The sequence below is a fragment of the Homo sapiens genome, chromosome 14 (assembly GCF_000001405.40).
Source record: "Homo sapiens chromosome 14, GRCh38.p14 Primary Assembly".
Lineage (NCBI taxonomy): Eukaryota > Metazoa > Chordata > Mammalia > Primates > Hominidae > Homo > Homo sapiens.
Window position 1 is genome coordinate 66,274,597 of NC_000014.9, and position 20,084 is coordinate 66,294,680.

A 20,084-nucleotide genomic window follows, 5' to 3' on the forward strand; every position below is an offset into this window, starting at 1 on the left:
TACAGTCTTTTAATTAGGGTTTTTAGCTTCTTTTTATTCTATCCCTGTTTGCTCATTTCTTAGTAATTTCTTAACTTTTTTGACTTAAGAAATATTACAGTACTTTTTTTTACACAAGGAGAGATTTATTTTTCTTACGTGACAAGGTTAGAGATAGGCTATTGCTGCTGTTGTTTTAGCTGCTCATAAGTGTTATGAAGACCCAGTTTCCTTCTATATTTCTGCTCCACCAACTTCAGTGTGTTAGCTTTTTGTCTTTGTGCTTGCCATCTCGTGGTTGCAAGATGACAGCCTCACCCCAAGCATCATGGGCAAGTTCAAGGAAAGAAGGAGGAGTTAGGTAAGTTCTCTCCTGCTTATACCATTTCTCAAGACAGCAAAGATGTTTCAGATGCTCCAAGTAGACTTACTCTTATATCTTATTGGCTAGAAGGACAGAAGCAGTTCATGTGATCACCTCTAGCTGCAAGCAATGCTGGGAAATTGAGTATCTGGTTTTCACTTTTGTGTCTGGTTGCCCTCTCCTCCTGCTGTTGCAGAGTTTCTCTTCTTTTCTTTTTTTTCACCTAGAATAATCTCTTTGTACCTATTCAGCTCACTAAAGCGATACTTTACATTTTTCCTGAACATGGGACATAGAGGGCTTCCTTCAGTTGTCACTCAACTTTCTCTTTATTGGGAGATATTAGTATGCTCTGAATGACAGCAAAAGCTTTAGCTATAATAACCCCATGTAAAATAAAAGGATATCTATGTTAGTGTATGAAACAGTAGCAATACACAGTTTGCAATACACAGTAGCAATACAGTTTGGAGTATCTAAACTGTAACTTGAATGGATCCTCAGATAAGTAACAACAAAAGACTGTTAACATTTTTTAAAAACTTGGTAGAAAGTCAGATAAGACTCAAAAACAACGGGCAAAGGAGAATGAGAAGACCACATACACCAGAACTGGCCACCCACTAGTTATCTGCCATCTTACATGGTCACTGTCTTCTCAGACACTGACATGCATTGGAGGTGGCATGGCATAAGGGTCAAGAGCAGGGGATCTGAAGCTACACCTTGGAGTTACCACTTTCTAGTTCCATGATCTTGGGCAGGTTCCTTAGGCAAGGTTCCTCAGCTTCCTTGCCTGTTTTGGAGATCATAATAGTACCTACTTCGTAGATTGTGAAGATTTAATGAAACATACATACAAAGCACTTTAAACAGTGTCTGGCTCACAATAAGCATTTAATAAATATTTTGAATAGCAGTTGTTATTGCTGTAGTAGTTTTTGTTGTTGTCATTATTATTATTATAATTGGAACTTAAAGTAGCTTCAACATGAGTGGTACTGAGAGGCCACTACAGAAGAGTGAGAGTTCATGGCCAGGTTGCAGTTCCTTTTTGCCCACTGACAAACTGAGTGAATCTAAGTTAAGTCATTTTTCCTTCTCTGGGCTCAGCTCTCTATGTTGGTGCTAAACACCTTGGAGTCCTAAAATTCTAGAATCCTATCCTCAGAGTTTAGCCCCTGATATTCCTTTTGAAGCGTTCACTCAAACAAGCCATCCAGCTGGTACTACTCAGATCCCATTGACTATAGAACAAGGAAAAGTCTACCACAAATGAGGAACCTCAGAGTACAGAATCCACCCCTGGAGGTAAACTAGACACCTGCCTTAGCTTGGTTCCTTTTAACATAAATGTACAACTTCAATTTCCACTTCACCCATTTTACTCCCAGGAAAATTAATCTCTCTTAGTCCCTGACTATTCATAACAGCTACTATTTATGAGTGCCTGTAACGTGCCAAGAACCTTGTATTCATTATTGATAATATTTTCAACATCATTGCAAAACAGCTATCATTGTCTTCATTTTACTGATTGTTACACTATAAATGAAATTTAAGACAAGATTTCTAAGATCATACAGCAAAATTCACGGGGCTGGTTTTTCAAATAAGGTTTCTTTTTAGTCTAAAAACCAAATTCTATCTTACAACCTCTGGGTGTCCACCAGATCTGCTCTCTCCAGAGACCCTGAAATCATGATCTACACATGCCTCGTTCCCATTCCTACCCCGCCAACTGCCTTAAGTGAGCACTCATCTATAGATTCAGCATCACCCCATGCTCCAAAACCAGTGCTGTTCCCAGACTTGGTGAATTCAAGAAGTCTTAAAGAGAAATGCTTAATGCTCAGCATCTAAACAACTTAGTCTCTGGTCTCTTTCTGACTACATATATTAATTTTACTTACATGTCACTTACCTTGTTACCAATACCTTCCTGGTACCTCAGCCTCAGGGACTAGGCCCCCATATCTACTATTCAAGAGTCCAGGTATAATACTGCTCAGAAATCCCATTGTCACCTCTCTCCAGAAATAGCTGCTATCTTCCAGATGTCTGCCCTTGACAAACCCCAAGCTCTCCTGCTTCTTTCTTGATGCATTTACTTATTTATTGAGCCCTGGTATGAGCCAGCCCCATGTTTCCTTCATTCTTCTCCAGAGCCTCAACATATTCTGTTCACACATCCCTGTCTGCCACCTAACCACAGCTAACCCATCTCTGATTATTGACTACTTAATACAAATTAACAAGGCAATTATTTACCATTAAAATATTTTTAACACCACAAATTGGGATACAATTTCCAATTAAAATTTATTTATCCCTTCTAGCTACAGATGAAGTATGGCTTATTGGATCCTAAACACCAGGGTAGACTATTCATCTTAAAGGGTGCCTGATGATTCCTTCAAGGTGTATGTTCTGTGAATGGTGGTGCATCACACTGGTGAAGAACTGAGCCAATAAGTAGAAGGAAGAAATGATCAACACTAAGGAAATTTAGAGCCAAAGGATTGACTATGGATTCAGGCAGGCCTGGGTTTGAATCCTGTCCTCACCTCTCACTAGCCCACTAGTATGGCAATTTACAAACGTCCTCCCACCCCCCAACTTCTGAGTATATATCCAAAAGAACTAAAATCAGGACCCTGAAAACATATCTGCATTCCCATGTTCACTGCAGCATTATTCCCAATAGTCAAGATACAGAAACAACCTAAATGTCCATGGATAAAGAAAATGTGGATATACATGCAATGGAATATTATTCAGTCTTTTATTTTTTAATTTAATTTAATTTTTTAAGACAGGGTCCTGTTATGTTGCCCAGGTTGGTCTCAAACTCCTGGACTCAAGCAATCCTCCCACTTCAGCCTCCCAAAGTGCTGGGATTACAGGCATGAGCATCTATGCTTGGCCTTATTCAGCCATTTAAAAGATGGAAATCATGGGCAAAGACTTCATGACTAAAACACCAAAAGCAATGGCAAAAAAAACCTAAAACAGACAAATGGGATCTAATTAAACTAAACAGCTTCTGCACAGCAAAAGAAACTATCATCAGAGTGAACAGGCAACCTACAGAATGGGAGAAAATTTTTGCAACCTACCCATCTGACAAAGGGCTAATATCCAGAATCTACAAAGAACTTAAACAAATTTACAAGAAAAAAACAAACAACCCCATCAAAAAGTGGGCAAAGGATATTAACAGACACTTCTCAAAAGAAGACGTTTATTCAGCCAACAGACACATGAAAAAATGCTCATCATCACTGGTCATCAGAGAAATGCAAATCAAAACCACGATAAGATACCATCTCATGCCAGTTAGAATGGTGATCATTAAAAAGTCAGGAAACAACAGATGCTGGAGAGAATGTGGAGAAATAAGAATGCTTTTACACTGTTGGTAGGAGTATAAATTAGTGCAACCACTGTGGAAGACAGTGTGGCAATTCCTCAAGGAGCTAGAACTAGAAATACCATTTGACCCAGCAATCCCACTACTGGGTACATACCCAAAGGAGTATAAATTATTCCACTATAAAGACACATGCACACGAATGTTTATTGTGGCACTATTCACAATAGCAAAGACTTGGAACCAACCCAAATGTCCATCAATGATAGACTAGATTAAGAAAATGTGGCACATAAACACCATGGAATACTATGCAGCCATAAAAAAGGATGAGTTCATGTCCTTTGCAGGGACATGGATGAAGCTGGAAACCATCATTCTCAGCAAACTGTCACAAGGACAGAAAACCAAACACTGCATGTTCTCACTCACAGTGGGGAGCTGAACAATGAGAACACACGGACACAGGGTGGGGAACATCCCACACCGGGACCTGTCAGGGGGTGGGAGACTGGGGGAGGGATAGCATTAGGAGAAATACCTAATGTAAATGTGGAGTTGATGGGTGCAGCAAACCAACATGGCACATGTATACCTACGTAACAAACCTGCACATTGTGCCCATGTACCCTAGAACTTAAAGTAGAATAAAAAAATAAAAAATAAAATAAAATAAAAGATGGAAATCTACTATTTATGACAATATGGGTAAGCCTGGAGGACATTATGCTAAGTGAAATAGGCCAGACACAGAAGGACAAATACTACATGATTCTGATTAGATGAAGTATTTAAGATAGTCACACTCAGAAGCAGAGAGTAGAAAGTAGTTGCCAGGGAATCAGGGGAGGGAGAAATGAAGAGTTGTTCAATGGGTATAAAGCTTTAGCTGTGTAAGATGAAAAAGTTCCAGATATCCTCTGTATAACCTAGTACCTATAGTTAACAAAACTGTATTGTGTGATTTAAAAATTTATTAAGCATGTTGCAGCGAACAAAGATCGTGCCACTGCACACGAGCCTGGGTGACAGAGGGAGACTCCGTCTCAAAAAAAAAAAAAAAATTATCAAGAGGGTAGATCTCTTGTTAAATGTTCTTACCACAAAAATGAGGGGACATAAGAAAACTTTTGGTGGTGATGGATATGTTTATTACCCTGAATGTGGTGACAATGTCATGGGTGTATGCATATTTACAAACTTATAAAATTGTGTACATTAAATATGTGCAGAATTTTGTAATAAATAAAAATGTAGCTCCAAAATTCTTTGACACTCTTCCCATCAAAAGGTGGATATATATTCTGGACTCTGTGACTGTTTAACCAAAGGAATATAGCAGAAGTGAGGCTATGCCAGTTTCCAGGCCCAGGCCTTAAGAAACTATCTTCTACTTCCTGTCTCTTAAGATGCTTATATTGGATCCCAGCCACCATACTGTGAGGAAGCCCAAGCCACCCCATAGTGAGGCCCACATGGAGAGAAACCAAGAGCTGGCATGCTCTTGGTTTACCACAAAGATAAAGTGAGACAGTGGACATAAACCTAACGTAGAGTTTATTATGAGTATTTAATGAGATAGTGGATTTGAAGTGCCTCACCTATATCTAACACACAGAGTGTCTCAAATCACATCCCCTAGAAGCCAACCCTGACACAAAGATTCATGTACATGTGATTCATTAAGTGTTCCCAGGAAGACCCATTAAGAGCATGGGGAAAACAGGCATGGAAGAGGCTGAAGAAAGCAAAGGTGCAGTTTTGGGTCATGTTCATAGAAAGGGGGTTCAGCTTGATTCTGCAGGGGAATTCTGGAGGGTAAGTTACACCTGTGCCAAGTGCATGGAGTTTTCATGCTCCTGAACCCATCAGTTACTGGTTAAGAGCCACCCCTTGGGAGCATAAATGCCCAGGCACCTCTGCCTCTCTGTGTGGCAAAGCAGGCTCCAGCAGCCTGAAGAAGGTAGCCTGACAGTGGTACCCCAAAACAGATGTCGGTGCTGGCTGTTGAAAGAGAACACACACCAAAATCCAGGTTGCTACACCCTTTGCACCCCTTACACACATACGCACACACACAGACACACAAACACACACACCACCACCACCACCACCATTACAAAGTTATTCAAGGTGATCTGGGTGGAGGACTGATATTGTCCACCACACAGGGGCACTCAAATAATGCTGGTTCGCATGAGGATGTGTTTTGCCCCAGTTCCTCACGAGGAAAGCCAAAATTGAATGAATTAGTAGACATTCTCCATGAGAAGACTTATACCAGTAAGACAGGGAGCAGTAAATAAAAGCAACAGATTAGTGCAATATTACTAAATCCCATCATTTAGATTCTCACATGGCAGATTTAATAAATGAGATCTATCTCTTCTTGGTGGATGCACTAGCATAAGTACCATCTAAATCAGGCCTGCAGAGAATCAAGCAACCTGATGGATATCTTTTAGCTCAATGGCAGTAATGCATGGACTATTTGGAAGGATTGGTGCTAGAAAATAGAGAATGCAATATTTGTCTTGAATTAACTAATTTTTTATAATCAATGTACAGTGAGTGATATTCTCTTGCCAAAGTAGATTTGTGACCTGCCTGAAGTATCAATTATTTTCCAATTTATACAGTAAATCTATTTGGTAATGTGAGGTGTTGCAGCAATTTTAACACATCAGTAAAGATGGAAATCAATCTATTTTCCTTAGCATTTGGCAATAAACTCTATAAATAAAACAAGTAAATACGGTTTTTTCCAGGGCCAGATCTGCCTTTTTCTTCACCCTTTTCTACTGCATGGCTGCTGGCTGAGGGCAGTATTTGTTTCCCTGGAGATTTCACTCTGACGCAAGCCCCGGCCAGCTCCCTCTAGGCCGCGAACTCTCTGGAATGGCTGGGAAATGTCAGGTTTTCTTCAGGGCAGTCCTGTTGCTGGGTTGATAGGCTGAAACTGAACTTTAAAAGTGTGTCGGGCATTGCCACACACATCATTTCATCCAGCAAAGTAAGTTGGGCAGATATCAGCATTCCTACTTTACAAATAAGAAAACTGAGGCCCAGAAACGACAAGGGACCTGCCAAGAATAGAGCTGAGAGTCAAATTCTAGGTCTTCTGACCATAAATCCTGACTTTTGTCTATGAAACCATGAAGTAACTTAATGATTTAATCTCTCTGTAAATCTTCTCCTGTCTTCTGAGAAGCCGAGAACATCAGGTCACAGGAATTAAGGCAAGGCAGGGACTGCCAAGTTGAGGAAAGGGGAGGGAACAACATGTGCAAAGCCAGGGAGGCTTAAGAGTGCATGGCAAGACTTCTGGTTTCTGCTTGAGATGGAACAGGCATCACTCCCACACTTGCAGGAAAAATAATAGCCAGATCAGCAGCGTATCCACAACTTTTCTTAAAGCCATCAGAGAGAGTTGAGGTAACAGAAACAACTTTCTAAGGAAAGACAGGTGCCTGCAAAGAGAGATGTGTCATGAGCCCTTGCCAATGCTGTCAAATATAAGAAGAATTCAGCCAAAATTGTTAAGAAATAAGGAAAGTAAGAGAATATAGGACCCCTGGGGGAAGCAGATCTACAGGAAATCTGCACCCATTCACAGGCTATTCTTCATGGACCTCCCTGAGAACCCTTAAGGCACTACAGCTGAGGGAATTAAACAGAAGAGTCCTCTACTCTTGGGGACAGGGCAAGAATGACCCCTAGGAGAGGAAACAAAAGCACTGAGTACACCACAACCCTGAGATCCAGGACCCAGTACCTGTCTAAGACTGTCTAGTTAGGATGACATGAGTGAGAATGTCTCTCCACTACCCCACCACTTCCCATCACCAGGCTGGCAAGCGGCAAGTAACAACTCATACTAGAATATTGCTGAGAGGGGAACAAGAGCATGAAGACAGACTCTCTCTGAGGCACAACTCAAAGAGAAGACCAAAAACTGAGGAAGGAAAAGACATTAATAAAAGCCCTCTAATAAACCAGCTCTCACCCTAAACACAAGGCAATACTAGAGGAGTTTTAAGCCTTCAGGACACTGAGGCTTCAAATTATGACAACAAATCCCAAACCCAGTTTACTAAAATCCTAGCAGAAGGAAAAGTGTGCCCTTTCCAGGCCATAAAAGCTATTTACAGTTACTACTATCCTATACAAGATGTCTATCTTTTTTTAAAAAAATTATAAGGCATATGAAAAAGAAAGAAGAAAACAAAATTGTCAAGAGACAAAACAAAACAAAAAAACCACTAGGCATATCATACTAAAACTGCAGAAAACACAAGACAAGTAAAAAAAAGAAGAAAACTTTAACAGAGTCATGGGAAAAAATACATTACATATAAGGGAACAAAGATAAGAATGATAAGAGACTTCTTGTTAGAAACCAAGCAAGCCAGAAGACAATTAAGTGACTATTTAATGGGCAAAAAGAAAAAACAAAAAAAAAACTGGAATTCTATAACCAGCAAAAATATCTGTCAAAAATTAAGGACAAACACTTTCTCAGACAAACAAAAACTGAGAGAATTTATTTCCAGAAGACCTGAACTACAAGAAGTATTAAAAAAAATTTTTTTAGGCAAAAGCAATATTACATCAGACAGAAATTTGGATCCACACAAAGAAATGGCAAGCATTTGAAATAGAATAAATGAAGGTAAAAACAAAATTTATTCATTATTATTATTTTTTAATTTTTTTTATTTTTTGAGACGGAGTCTCGCTCTGTCACCCAGGCTGGAGTGCAGTGGCGTGATCTCGGCTCACTGCAACCTCTGCCTCCCAGGTTCAAGCAATTCTCATGCCTCAGCCTCCTGAGTAGCTAAGATTACAGGCACGTGCCACCACGCCTGGCCAATTCTCCTGCCTCTGCCTCCTGAGTAGCTGGGACTACAGGCATGTGCCACCATGCCAGGCTAATTTTTGTATTTTTAGTAGAGACGGGGTTTCACCATGTTGGTCAGGCTGGTCTCGAACTCCTGACCTCATGATCTGCCCACCTTGGCCTCCCAAAGGGCTGGGATTACAGGTGTGAGCCACTGTGCCGGCCTATTTTTTATTATTTTTAATGGCTCTAAAAAATAACTGATTATCTAAGGCAAAACATATTAGCAATATATTGTGTATTTGTATTATATACAAAAGTAAAATATATAACAACAATTACACAACGAACTAAAGGAAAGAATTGGGAATATACCAGTAAGGTTGTAAGGTCATGACACTATGCATACAGAGGTATATTATTTGAAGGTGGACTCTGATTAATTACAAATATATAAATTCATATACTATAAACCTATGGGCAAATACTGAAACATTAAAAAAGAAAAGGTATAAAAAATAAGCCAATGGTGGCAATAAAATAGATCATAAGATATACTTAATTATTTCAACAAAGCAGAAAGGAAAAAATAAAAAAAGATGGAAAAAATAGAAAACAGCTATCTAGATGGTAGATTTTAAAGCAACCGTGTTAACAACCACACTAATTAGAGATGGTCTAAACTCACCAATTAAAATATAGAGATTGCCCAGTTGTATTAAAGAAAGACCAACTTTAAGTAAAAACTAATCAAACTAAAAGGAAGAACAGACAAATTCACAATTAAAATTGGAGGTGTCAGTACTCCTCTATCAGTAGAACAAGAAGACAAAAAAAATCAATAAGGAACAACATTATCAACCAACTTAAGCTAATTGACATTATGGGATATCTCACTTAACAAAAGCAGAAAACACATTCTTCTGAAATGAATATGGAACATTCACTAAGTCAGACCATGTTCTGGACCATAGAAGAAAATCTTAACAGACTTAAAAGAATAGAAGTTATAAGTCTCTAACCATAGTAGAATTTGTTAAAGAGGGATTCAAGATAGAATTTACTAGAAACCTTATGATGCCAGGCTGGAAAGGGAGCCTAACGGCCTTCTATGACTATGCTAGTCTTGAAGCATGTGATGCACATCAGGCAAAAAGTTTTTCAATTCATGCTAAAGTTAAAACACATAGTAGGAAACATATTTCCAGTTGTCACATTTCATCTCATCTAGCAGGAAATACCCATGCTTGATCTTGACTTGAGATGTATAGACAGAGAAAGGCAGTGAAAGATTGATGTCTGGGAATCTAAATCCAGGGCCTTCTGCTCATCAGACCCTGCTCTTCCCTTTCCTCAATCAGATCACACAGTGCAAACAATTCCGTTTGATGACTCAGCCCTCAGGCCTTAAGAATCTAGAGAGCTGGGCTCAATCTTTGCTCCATTGCTCACCAGCTATATGGTTATGGGCATATATTTAATCTCTCTAAACTGCATTTGCTCATCTGTCTAATGAGATAGCAACTGTATCTATCTCAAAGTTTTATGAGAATTAATGGAGATGATGGATGAGAGTACTCAGCACAAGATATATAGACTATAGTAAATACTCAATAAAGATAGTTATCACCATTATTATCCATTATTATTATTCCTGGAAAGAAAGTCTCCAGGGAAGCTCTCTATAAGGCTAAAACACTTGTGCTGTTTAAAGACTATGTATTTAAATTTGGAACCTGGCAAGAGGTATACAATTTATAATGAGGAAAAAATTAAATCTGCCATTGTTTCCCATGTCCTCCATGGGAAGGTCAGAAGAATAATACAAAGATAAAACGTAGGGCTTTGCTTACACAGACTTTCTCACAGGGAAGACTCTGTCCCATTCCAAACCTCCTAAGTGTTTTCCCTACCTGATCTTTGTTGCTTGGGATTCTTTTAACTAGAACCAAACAATGTCATTCCACAACAGAAATATGGCTTAACATACATATAGTTCTGGGATGGGTGATACAGTGTATTACATATCAAAGTAGAAAAGGGGATTTTATATAAGCCTTGGTTACATGAAGAGTAGGGAATTAGGAGGTCCTCACTGAAAGGGCAGACCCTGCATTCCAAAAGCCCCTTGAATCTAAAGAGAAGAGCAAATGAATAAAACTGGAAAGAGCATGGATGGCATACAGACTAGAGGTCTCCAAACACCAGGCCTCAGACCAATTTATTAGAATCATCTTAAGAGTTTATTAAAAATACAGACTCCTAGGCTTCACCCTAGACCTAATGAATCTAAACCACTTATGGTGGGATGATAGGATTTTAACAAGAAGGAGGACACAGATGTTGGAATCGTGCATCAGTACCAACTTTTGACTTTACAGAGGAGGAAACTAGCCCAGGATAATGAAGGAAGTTTGTTCAAGGTCATTTCACAACTGTCTTCAACAAGCTTGGCTCAGCTGTGACTGCGGGAGGTAAGCAGGCAATTCTGGTCACTGCCTAACTTGCCTCTTTTGGTTATTGTCTTAGTCCATTTTTTCCTGCTATAACAGAATACCACTGGGCAATTTAGAAAGAAAAGAAATCTATTTCTCACAATTCTAGAGGCTGGGAAGCCCAATATCAAGTGCCAGCAATGGATAAAGGTCTTTCCATGGTGGAAGACAGGCAGAAGGGCAAGCAAGTTCAAGAGACAGAGAAAAAAAGGGGTCTGAACTCCTGCAATAACAGATCTACTCCCATGATAATGGCATTAATCACCTCTTAAAGGTCCCACTTCTTAATACTGTCACAATGGCAATTATCTTTCGACATAAATTTTGGAGGGGACATTCAAACCATAGCATCCACGCAAGTATTTAACAAGAGTGGACAGTGTAGCAGTGTAGCTTTCTTTTTCTTTTATTTTCTCTTCTTTTCTTTTCTTTTCTTTTTTTTTTATTTTTGAGACAGATTCTCACTCTGTTGACCAGGCTAGAGTGCAGTCACTGCAATCTCGGCTCACTGCAAACTCCACCTCCTGGACTCAAGCGATTCTCCCACCTCAGCCTCCTGAATAGCTGGGACTACAGGTGTGCACCATCATGCCTGGCTAATTTTTGTATTTTTTGTAGAGATGGGGTTTTGCCATGTTGGCCAGGCTGGTCTTAAACTCCTGACCTCAAGTGATCCACCTGCCTTGACCTCCCAAAGTGCTGGGATTACAGGCATGAGCCACCATGCCCGGCCGACAGTGTAGCTTTCTGTGACCCTAATCTCTCTATGCTACCCAAGGTGACACCTATCTGAGGATGGCTGAGCTAAGCCAAAACTCTTTTCCAAGTTCAGCATCTTGAATGTACCCTCAGCTTTTCTCCAAACAATAAAACTATCAAGAGTGGAAATGTCACATTTGGTCAATAGCTGGCAGTCATGATTGGAGCAGCACACACCAACAAAAGGAATTATCAAAGGGCCAAAAATGAATCTAAACAGAACAAGGTGACCTCTAACCAACAAGAAAACACAGCCCAATCAACCAAGAAAATCTATGGGGTGAAAATGGTCTGCTCAGGAAAATCAATAGGGTGCAAATCAGTTGCACTCAAGCCCTGTAGCCTTGCACCTCTTTCTACCCTCAAAGTTGAACCACAGCATTCCTGCTTCTCAAAGACAGCACCTCACCCCCACTTTAACCTCCTCCCCACAGCATCTGCCTATTTATCCAAATGCATATTCTGATCCCGAAATGCCTTAAAACATGTCACCACATGAAAATATCCTTTCCTCCATGGCCACCACTTATCATTTCACATCTAGATTGTTTCCAGAAACTATTCCCTCCGTCTCTGTCTGTCCTTTTTACACCTGGACGCAAAGCTCAGAATAACATACCTCCTCGTCTCCCACTACTCCCTTATATGAATCCTCTGTCAACCAGGCAGGTCTCCTCATTATCCCTCTCTAAAACTCAAAGCTTTTTTTCAGGCTGTTCCTTAGAATGCCTGTTCTCTTCTACTTCTGCATGTTCTGATTGTCCACCCACTCTAAACCGGTTAAGTTAAAGTGCCCTCTTCTCTACTAGGCCTTCTTGGAACACCAGCAGCCTCCCAAAGGTCTGCTGGCACCTATGGAACTTTTCATCTGGAACCCTCATTCCTTACTGGGTGTTCGTGGGTGAGGGGTGGCATCTTTAACAATATTCTAAACTCCTGAAGGAAGGCAGCATACAGTGGATTGGGATAAGAATTCTTGGTTCCTGTTCAGACCCTGCCTCTAAGTACTGTGGGTCTTTGGGCAAGTGATTGAACCTTTCAGGTCTTTATTCTATAAAATGAGATTGTAGTATGGGGGAGCTCTAAGATTCTTTGTCATTATAACATTCTAGACTTCTAAGGCAAGGACTGTATCTTTTAAATATTTCCCATAACACTTAGCTATTCCCCCTTACTTTTCTTTAGCCTTTTAAGATTCTCTTTCCTCATTCATTAAATAGGATTGATAATAGGCCAGGTATGGTGGCTCACACCTGTAATCCTAGCACTTTGGAAGGCAGAGGCAGGTGGATCCCTTAAGGTCAGGAGTTTGAGACCAGCCTGGCCAACATGGTGAAACCCCGTCTCTACTAAAAATATAAAAATTAGCCAGAAATCACTTAAACCCAGGATGTGGAGGTTGCAGTGAGCCAAGATTGCGCCACTGCACTCCAGCCTGAGTGACAGAGTGAGACTTCGTCTAAAAAAAAAAAAAAAAAAAAGGGATTGATAATAATTCCCTCCTCATAGAATTTTTGAGAAGCTCAAAAAAATACTTTTTGTAAAATAGCACAGTCCTGGCACAAAGTAAGGGCTTAATAAATTTTTATTGTTATTGTTAAAGAAATAGGAGAAGCATATTAAATATCTGTTGAATGGATTAATAAATAGAACCTTTCAAAAGTGACTTTATTGAAGCAAAAAAAAGAAATCTCAAGTAATATTTAATTGCTTTTCAAATAATAAGGCATGTTATCTTTCCTTTAAAAATAGAAAGTATTTTCTTTTCCTTTCCCTGAGCTAGAAATTCTCACTTATAAATGCCCTTTTGCATCTGTGTTGAAAGCAGAATTTCAGAGCTATGTCTGCACCCGGCCGTGCTGGCCAGTGAGGCCCAGGGAGCTCAGGGAGGAATGTCCTTGCATACCCAAAATGGCGCTCCTGAAAGTAAAAGCCACTACTTCTTCTGAATATGAAGACCAAATATCCCATTTAAAGAAGCTACAGTCACCTTAACCTGAGATAGGAAGAGGGCATTTCTTGAGAATAAAATGAGGTGAAGTCTGCAGTTCAGAGGCCCCTGGTCCCTGGCTGACAAGGTGTCAAAATGTCAGTGTGCTCATTGGGTGAATCTTTTTTCTTCTCAAAGCACACCACTCGATACGCTTCTCTCAGAGTCAGAAGATAGAGAAATCTCACTTAGTTAGTACTCATTTACTCAAACAGCTAAATCCAAGGCAGAGGAAGCATGCCCTGAGGCAGGCCTCTGGGGATGAGATCACACCCTTAGCTAACCAGCCAGGAAGAGCAGAGCCCCAGCTCAAGGATTGGAGAGCTTCAGGAGGAACTATGACAAGGCCAGCTGTCCCAGTGACTAAAGGGCGAGACAGTCTTGCCATACAAAAGTATTCAAGGCAACAGAGTTCAGCTACCTGGAACAGATTAGGAAGCCAGAATACACAACATTCCAGAATGTAAACAACCAACTAGATTTAGAGACAGTGACAACATCCTCCTCAGAAATACATCAACTTATTGAGCCCACAGAAGAAGGTACTTCATACAATAATTTTTTTTTACTGATGCTTATGATTGCAGACTTTTATAAGTATTGCTTCAAGTTACACCAAAAAAAAAAAAAAAAAAGAAAACCCCAACATGAGATGCCTCTCTTTTGATGGAATTCCACTGGGGCTGAAAGGCAGACATGAGTAAAAAATGTACAGAGTGATTTAAAAAGAAATAAACACTTTCAAAAATGCATTACTCTGTAACTAGGTTAGAGATGAACAAGTAGTCAAAAACAATCTGTACCTGACTTCAAACTATACTACAAGGCTACAATAACCAAAACAGCATGGTACTGGTACCAAAACAGAGATATAGATCAATGGAACAGAACAGAGCCCTCAGAAATAACACCACATATCTACAACTATCTGATCTTTGACAAACCTGACAAAAACAAGCAATGGGGAAAGGATTCCCTATCTAATAAATGGTGCTGGGAAAACTGACTAGCCGTATGTAGAAAACTGAAACTGGATCCCTTCCTTACACCTTATACAAAAATTAATTCACGATGGATTAAAGACTTAAACATTAGACCTAAAACCATAAAAACCCTAGAAGAAAACTTAGGCATTACCATTCAGGACATAGGCATGGGCAAGGTCTTCATGTCTAAAACACCAAAAGCAATGGCAACAAAAGCCAAAATTGACAAATGGGATCTAATTAAACTAAAGAGCTTCTGCACAGCAAAAGAAACTACCATCAGAGTGAACAGGCAACCTACAAAATGGGAGAAAATTTTCGCAACCTACTCATCTGACAAAGGGCTAATATCCAGAATCTACAATGAACTCAAGCAAATTTACAAGAAAAAAACAAACAACCCCATCAAAAAGTGGGCAAAGGATATGAACAGACACTTCTCAAAAGAAGACATTTATGCAGTGAAAAGACACATGAAAAAATGCTCATCATCACTGGCCATCAGAGAAATGCAAATCAAAACCACAATGAGATACCATCTCACACCAGTTAGAATGGCAATCATTAAAAAGTCAGGAAACAACAGGTGCTGGAGAGGATGTGGAGAAATAGGAACACTTTTACACTGTTGGTGGGACTGTAAACTAGTTCAACTATTGTGGAAGTCAATGTGGCGATTCCTCAGGGATCTAGAACTAGAAATACCATTTGACCCAGCCAACCCATTACTGGGTATATACCCAAAGGACTATAAATCATGCTGCTATAAAGACACACACACACGTATGTTTATTGCGGCACTATTCACAATAGCAAAGACTTGGAACCAACCCAAATGTCCATCAATGATAGACTGGATTAAGAAAATGTGGCACATATACACCATGGAATACTAAGCAGCCATAAAAAATGATGAGTTCATGTCCTTTGTAGGGACATGGATGAAATTGGAAATCACCATTCTCAGTAAACTATTGCAAGGACAAAAAACCAAACACCGCATGTTCTCGCTCATAGATGGGAATTGAACAATGAGAACACATGGACATAAGAAGGGGAACATCACACTCTAGGGACTGTTGTGAGGTGGGGGGAGGGGGGAGGGGTAGCATTAGGAGATATACCTAATGCTAAATGACGAGTTAATGGGTGCAGCACACCAGCATGGCACATGTATACATATGTAACTAACCTGCACATTGTGCACATGTACCCTAAAACTTAAAGTATAATAATAATTTAAAAAAAAAACAATCTGTAAAGGAACTGTCACAGGATTTCTATAATCTTACAAATGCTCAGTATGCACCCCTCATTTCACAGGACACGCATCACTTCTGATGTCCAATTCATTCCAGACCCTTTGTAGGGCCATGGTTAAGATGGCAGCCATTATGCCCTCATTCATTTACTCAGGGCAACAGGGAAGGTGGTATAAACAGAAACTTCTTGACGTCTCCCTGCTAGAAGTTAGACAATGTGATATCTGTGTTTAAGGTTAACCACGGTTCAATTGTTTTTTAATTACCTCGTGTCTTTATAGGGTATGTGTACGATATCAAACATATCAAGCATGTATGGAAACTTGACCAAAATTATTTGGTGACAAGGCAGAGAATGCAGAACAAGTGGGAAAGAGAAGATAATGTTATTTTTAAAAAGTCAGGTAGCAGAAAAAGTATTAAATTTAGGGTCAACAGAATGAAACATGTCATTGCTCTGCCTCTTACCAACAGTAAGACCTTGCATAGGTCCTTCCTATTCTCTAAGCCTCAGCTTCATCAACTATAAAATGGAGAAAATAGTAGTAATCTGTGCCTTGTGAAATCAAAATATTGTTTTCTTTATTTAGGATCTCAGGGAGAAAAGTATAAAGATAAATCAGTGATAGACCCAGAATCCTGATATTTAACAGATTTCTTAACTATTTGGAAGGTCTATTGTTTGTATTAGTATTTTCTGGTCTCACGGTGGCCTGTGTGATCTTGGGCATGAACTAGTCCACTCCTAAGTCCCTGAGTCAGAAAGGTCCCACAGTGCAGTGAGAATCCAACACAGAACTTATGCCATGGATGCTGGGACTGAACAAATGGGTGCTTAATAGCCAGAGCAGGGTCTTTTCACCTGCTCTGGCTATTAAGGGAAAGGGGAAATAATTTATTTTCATAAAGGAAGCCTTCTGGGGTGGCCCGGTCTCCTGAATATTTATCACATCTCAAAGGAGGAAAATTAATTAAATAGGTTAGTCCTGCGTCTATGACAGAGACTTCACAACTCTGCTGTATTGTGTTCCTCCATGCTCCCTAAGTGCATACACACAAGCACACACTGAAGGCATGTCAACCGCAATGGAAGTGCCCTAGCTCTAGAAGACCACCTACTCTCTAAAGCAGTGAAAGCCAAAGCAACAAACCCAACCCTTGCCCCTAATTTGTACCTGTGGGAATTTCCTCCCTGACCCATAGTGATGGTCTCTGAGTCTACCTCAGAAGTGGTTTCAGCAAGCCTGGTTTCCTTCCACCTCCCTCCCCTCAGTGTCCAGTTCCCATGTTGTGCCAAGGTTGCCAGCCAAGGGACCAATTAGTGTCAACTGTGATGTCAACACTTGCCTGTCAAGTCCTGCATCCAGTTACATCTTCCTAATGAAGCCCTGAACTATTTAATTAGAAGTTGCTCTGACAATTCTGTCTTTGTCACATCAGCAATAGATTGTAACACAAGGGAGAAAATTTCCATTGAACCCTGCCATGGCATTTGCTCTGTAAATTGAGATGAGTGGGATGCATTCACCTTGCTAATGCATGGAATTAAGAGGTAGCATAGTTTCCCATCTTATCTAGTGGGAAGATATAATAACACAGCTACACATGAAACAAAGGACTTTTGGTTTGCTGTTTGCTAACCATCTCTGCCTTTTGAGGAATACTTAAACTGTCTTTAAGGGTGTTGCCTTTAGAGTCAGAAGAACCTGAGTTTGGATTTTTGCTCTGGCCTTTATGAACTGCCTGATTTGGGGCTAAATTTTTAACTTTTCCAAGAACTCAGGTTTCTCACCTGTTAAGTGGATATAATGATGCCTACCTTAATGATTAAAACAAAATGAATATGAAGCACTACACATAAGAACTAAATACTCAATGAAGAACTGTTCTTATCACTATTACATCTCAATGTCCTGTGTTCTAAACTAAAAGATGAATTCCACACTGTGGTAAGTATAACACTGTCTTCTACTGACTTCTACGTCTCCCTTGTTTGTTACTCTAGCCCCTTCTCTTTTCCAACTTAATTACTTCACCAGTCCTTACAAAATGTAGATTTCATCCATCTCATCACTCTAATTGTCCTGTATAAATTTCAGTTTGTAGGTTATTTCCAAAATGTGTGGCCTCAAAGTCTGAATGCCAAGCTCAGTATCACAAAGCACGATGGAACTGTATTTCCCTTGAACTGGATAACTTGCTTGCCAATTCAGTCTTGGATCCCATTAACTTTTCAGCAGCCATTCCACAAGGAGATGGAAAAGGGCCCTTCTAGCCTAAGGGCCAAGAAAAGGTGAGCTATTTGGAAGAAACCACCTAACTCCACCCATTTATGTTTTTATTAAATGGAGAGAAAATGAGCTCTTGAATGATATAATTCATTTGTGATTATTTCATTCTTTGAAAAGGTTAAGGTGCTTACCACAAAATATAAAACAGTAATCTGCATCTCTACTGCTGAAATTTTGGAAAGGGGATTTGGAAATTTTGGAGGGCCACTATTCTGCTACAGTCTTGAGAGACAAGCAAACAAAGTATTAGGATAAAGTCTGACAACCAAGGAAAATAAAGATAAAGAGTGAAATTGATCCATAATTTCACTAGTTTCTCTCTTCCAGTTCAGAAGAAAACAAGAAAATGTAGGTCTTTTCAAAAGGTAAAATTACCTTTAAAAAAGAAAGTATGATAGGATAGGATTCCTTTCCTTTTCTAAAGATTATCTTTTTAAACACAGCTCTTTTTCCCTGTAAACTACCACTCCTCCTCCCTGAAGATGCCCAACAAGGGCACACTGCCCATCAGCAGAGAGGGAAGTGTCAGCAAAGAGTCCTGCAATTACTGAATGTGATAGTAACATGAGGGAACATTGTCTGGGAGCAGGATCCTCTGAGTTTTCTGTTTCTCATTCTATTTGCATCCCAGGTAAAGAATAATACTTCTAAAAACCTGGCAAGGATTTCCACACTCCCTGCCATCCCAAAGTGTGTGCAGCCTTTGCAGCTGGCACATCTGCAAAGCCACTCCTTCCCTGCAGGGTAAGGCAGAGAAAGGAGGAAAAATGGCTTCACCGGGTGGAGTTCTGTGAGAGTAAGAATAACATGTGGTAAAAACAGATTAGGTTTCAGATGATAATAAGGATCGGAAGTCAAAATTCTTATGTATGTACAAAGAAGCATTTTCATTGACAGCCAGGAAAATTTGGTTATCAGTGAACCATGTTCTGCTTTTGGAAAGGCATCCAAAGCAGAAACCATCCAAAGGCAGAACCAAAACAGAAAGTAAAATCATGCGTCCCCCAACTTGAACATGGAAGCAGAAATAGAGACTTAAGTGCTCTAAGTCAGGGACTCTCTTTGGGATATGTAATGGGCAGACAAAGAATGAATGATATAGACAGACAGAGAGAGAGCCTGAAGGATCCCAGAGAGAGAAATGAGGCAGAGAGGATATGATACAGGGAAGATGAAGGAGAGAAAGAAGAGATGAACAGAGAGAAATGCAAGAGGCCCAAAGGGAAGGGGAAAGTGTTAAAGAGAAAATCAGAAGCAGAATGAAAGTTAGAGAAAAGGCATTTGATGGACAGGCCAAAGCAAAAAAAAAAAAAAAAAAAAAAAGGAAAGGAAAAATAATAGAAATGAAAATGAAGGAGAAAGTGGAAATGAATTAAAGGATGCTGGGTAGACTACAGAGACGCTGAGAACCTGAAGAGGCACCAAGGCCTTGCTCATCATGCAGGTCTTCAGAGGACCTGGCAATTGCAAAGCACTGCCTAAGGTTACTAACATTTACTTTCCAAGACCATGGAGTTTGGGGTCAAGTGGATCCTGATTCAGATCCTCTGGGAAGACAATTAACCTCTTGAGTTTTAGTTTGCACATCTGCAAAATGGGGATAATAATCGGCTTCACTGGATTGTTGTGATTATTAAATATGATAACATATATAAAATCCCATCACAATACCTAACATATAACGGATGCTCAGTAAATGTTAGTTTCCCCTCTTTCCCCAAATTAGGCATTCTACTCTGGCCTTT

The 20,084-nt window shown here is 39.8% G+C and overlaps 1 annotated feature.

Moving 5' to 3' along the window:
- Positions 19,122 to 19,322: a silencer, noted in NCBI's record as "peak2177 fragment used in MPRA reporter construct". NCBI's record gives its function as "represses an SCP1 promoter by STARR-seq MPRAs in K562 erythroleukemia cells {active_cell/tissue: K562}" and the evidence as "EXISTENCE:reporter gene assay evidence [ECO:0000049][PMID:32103011]".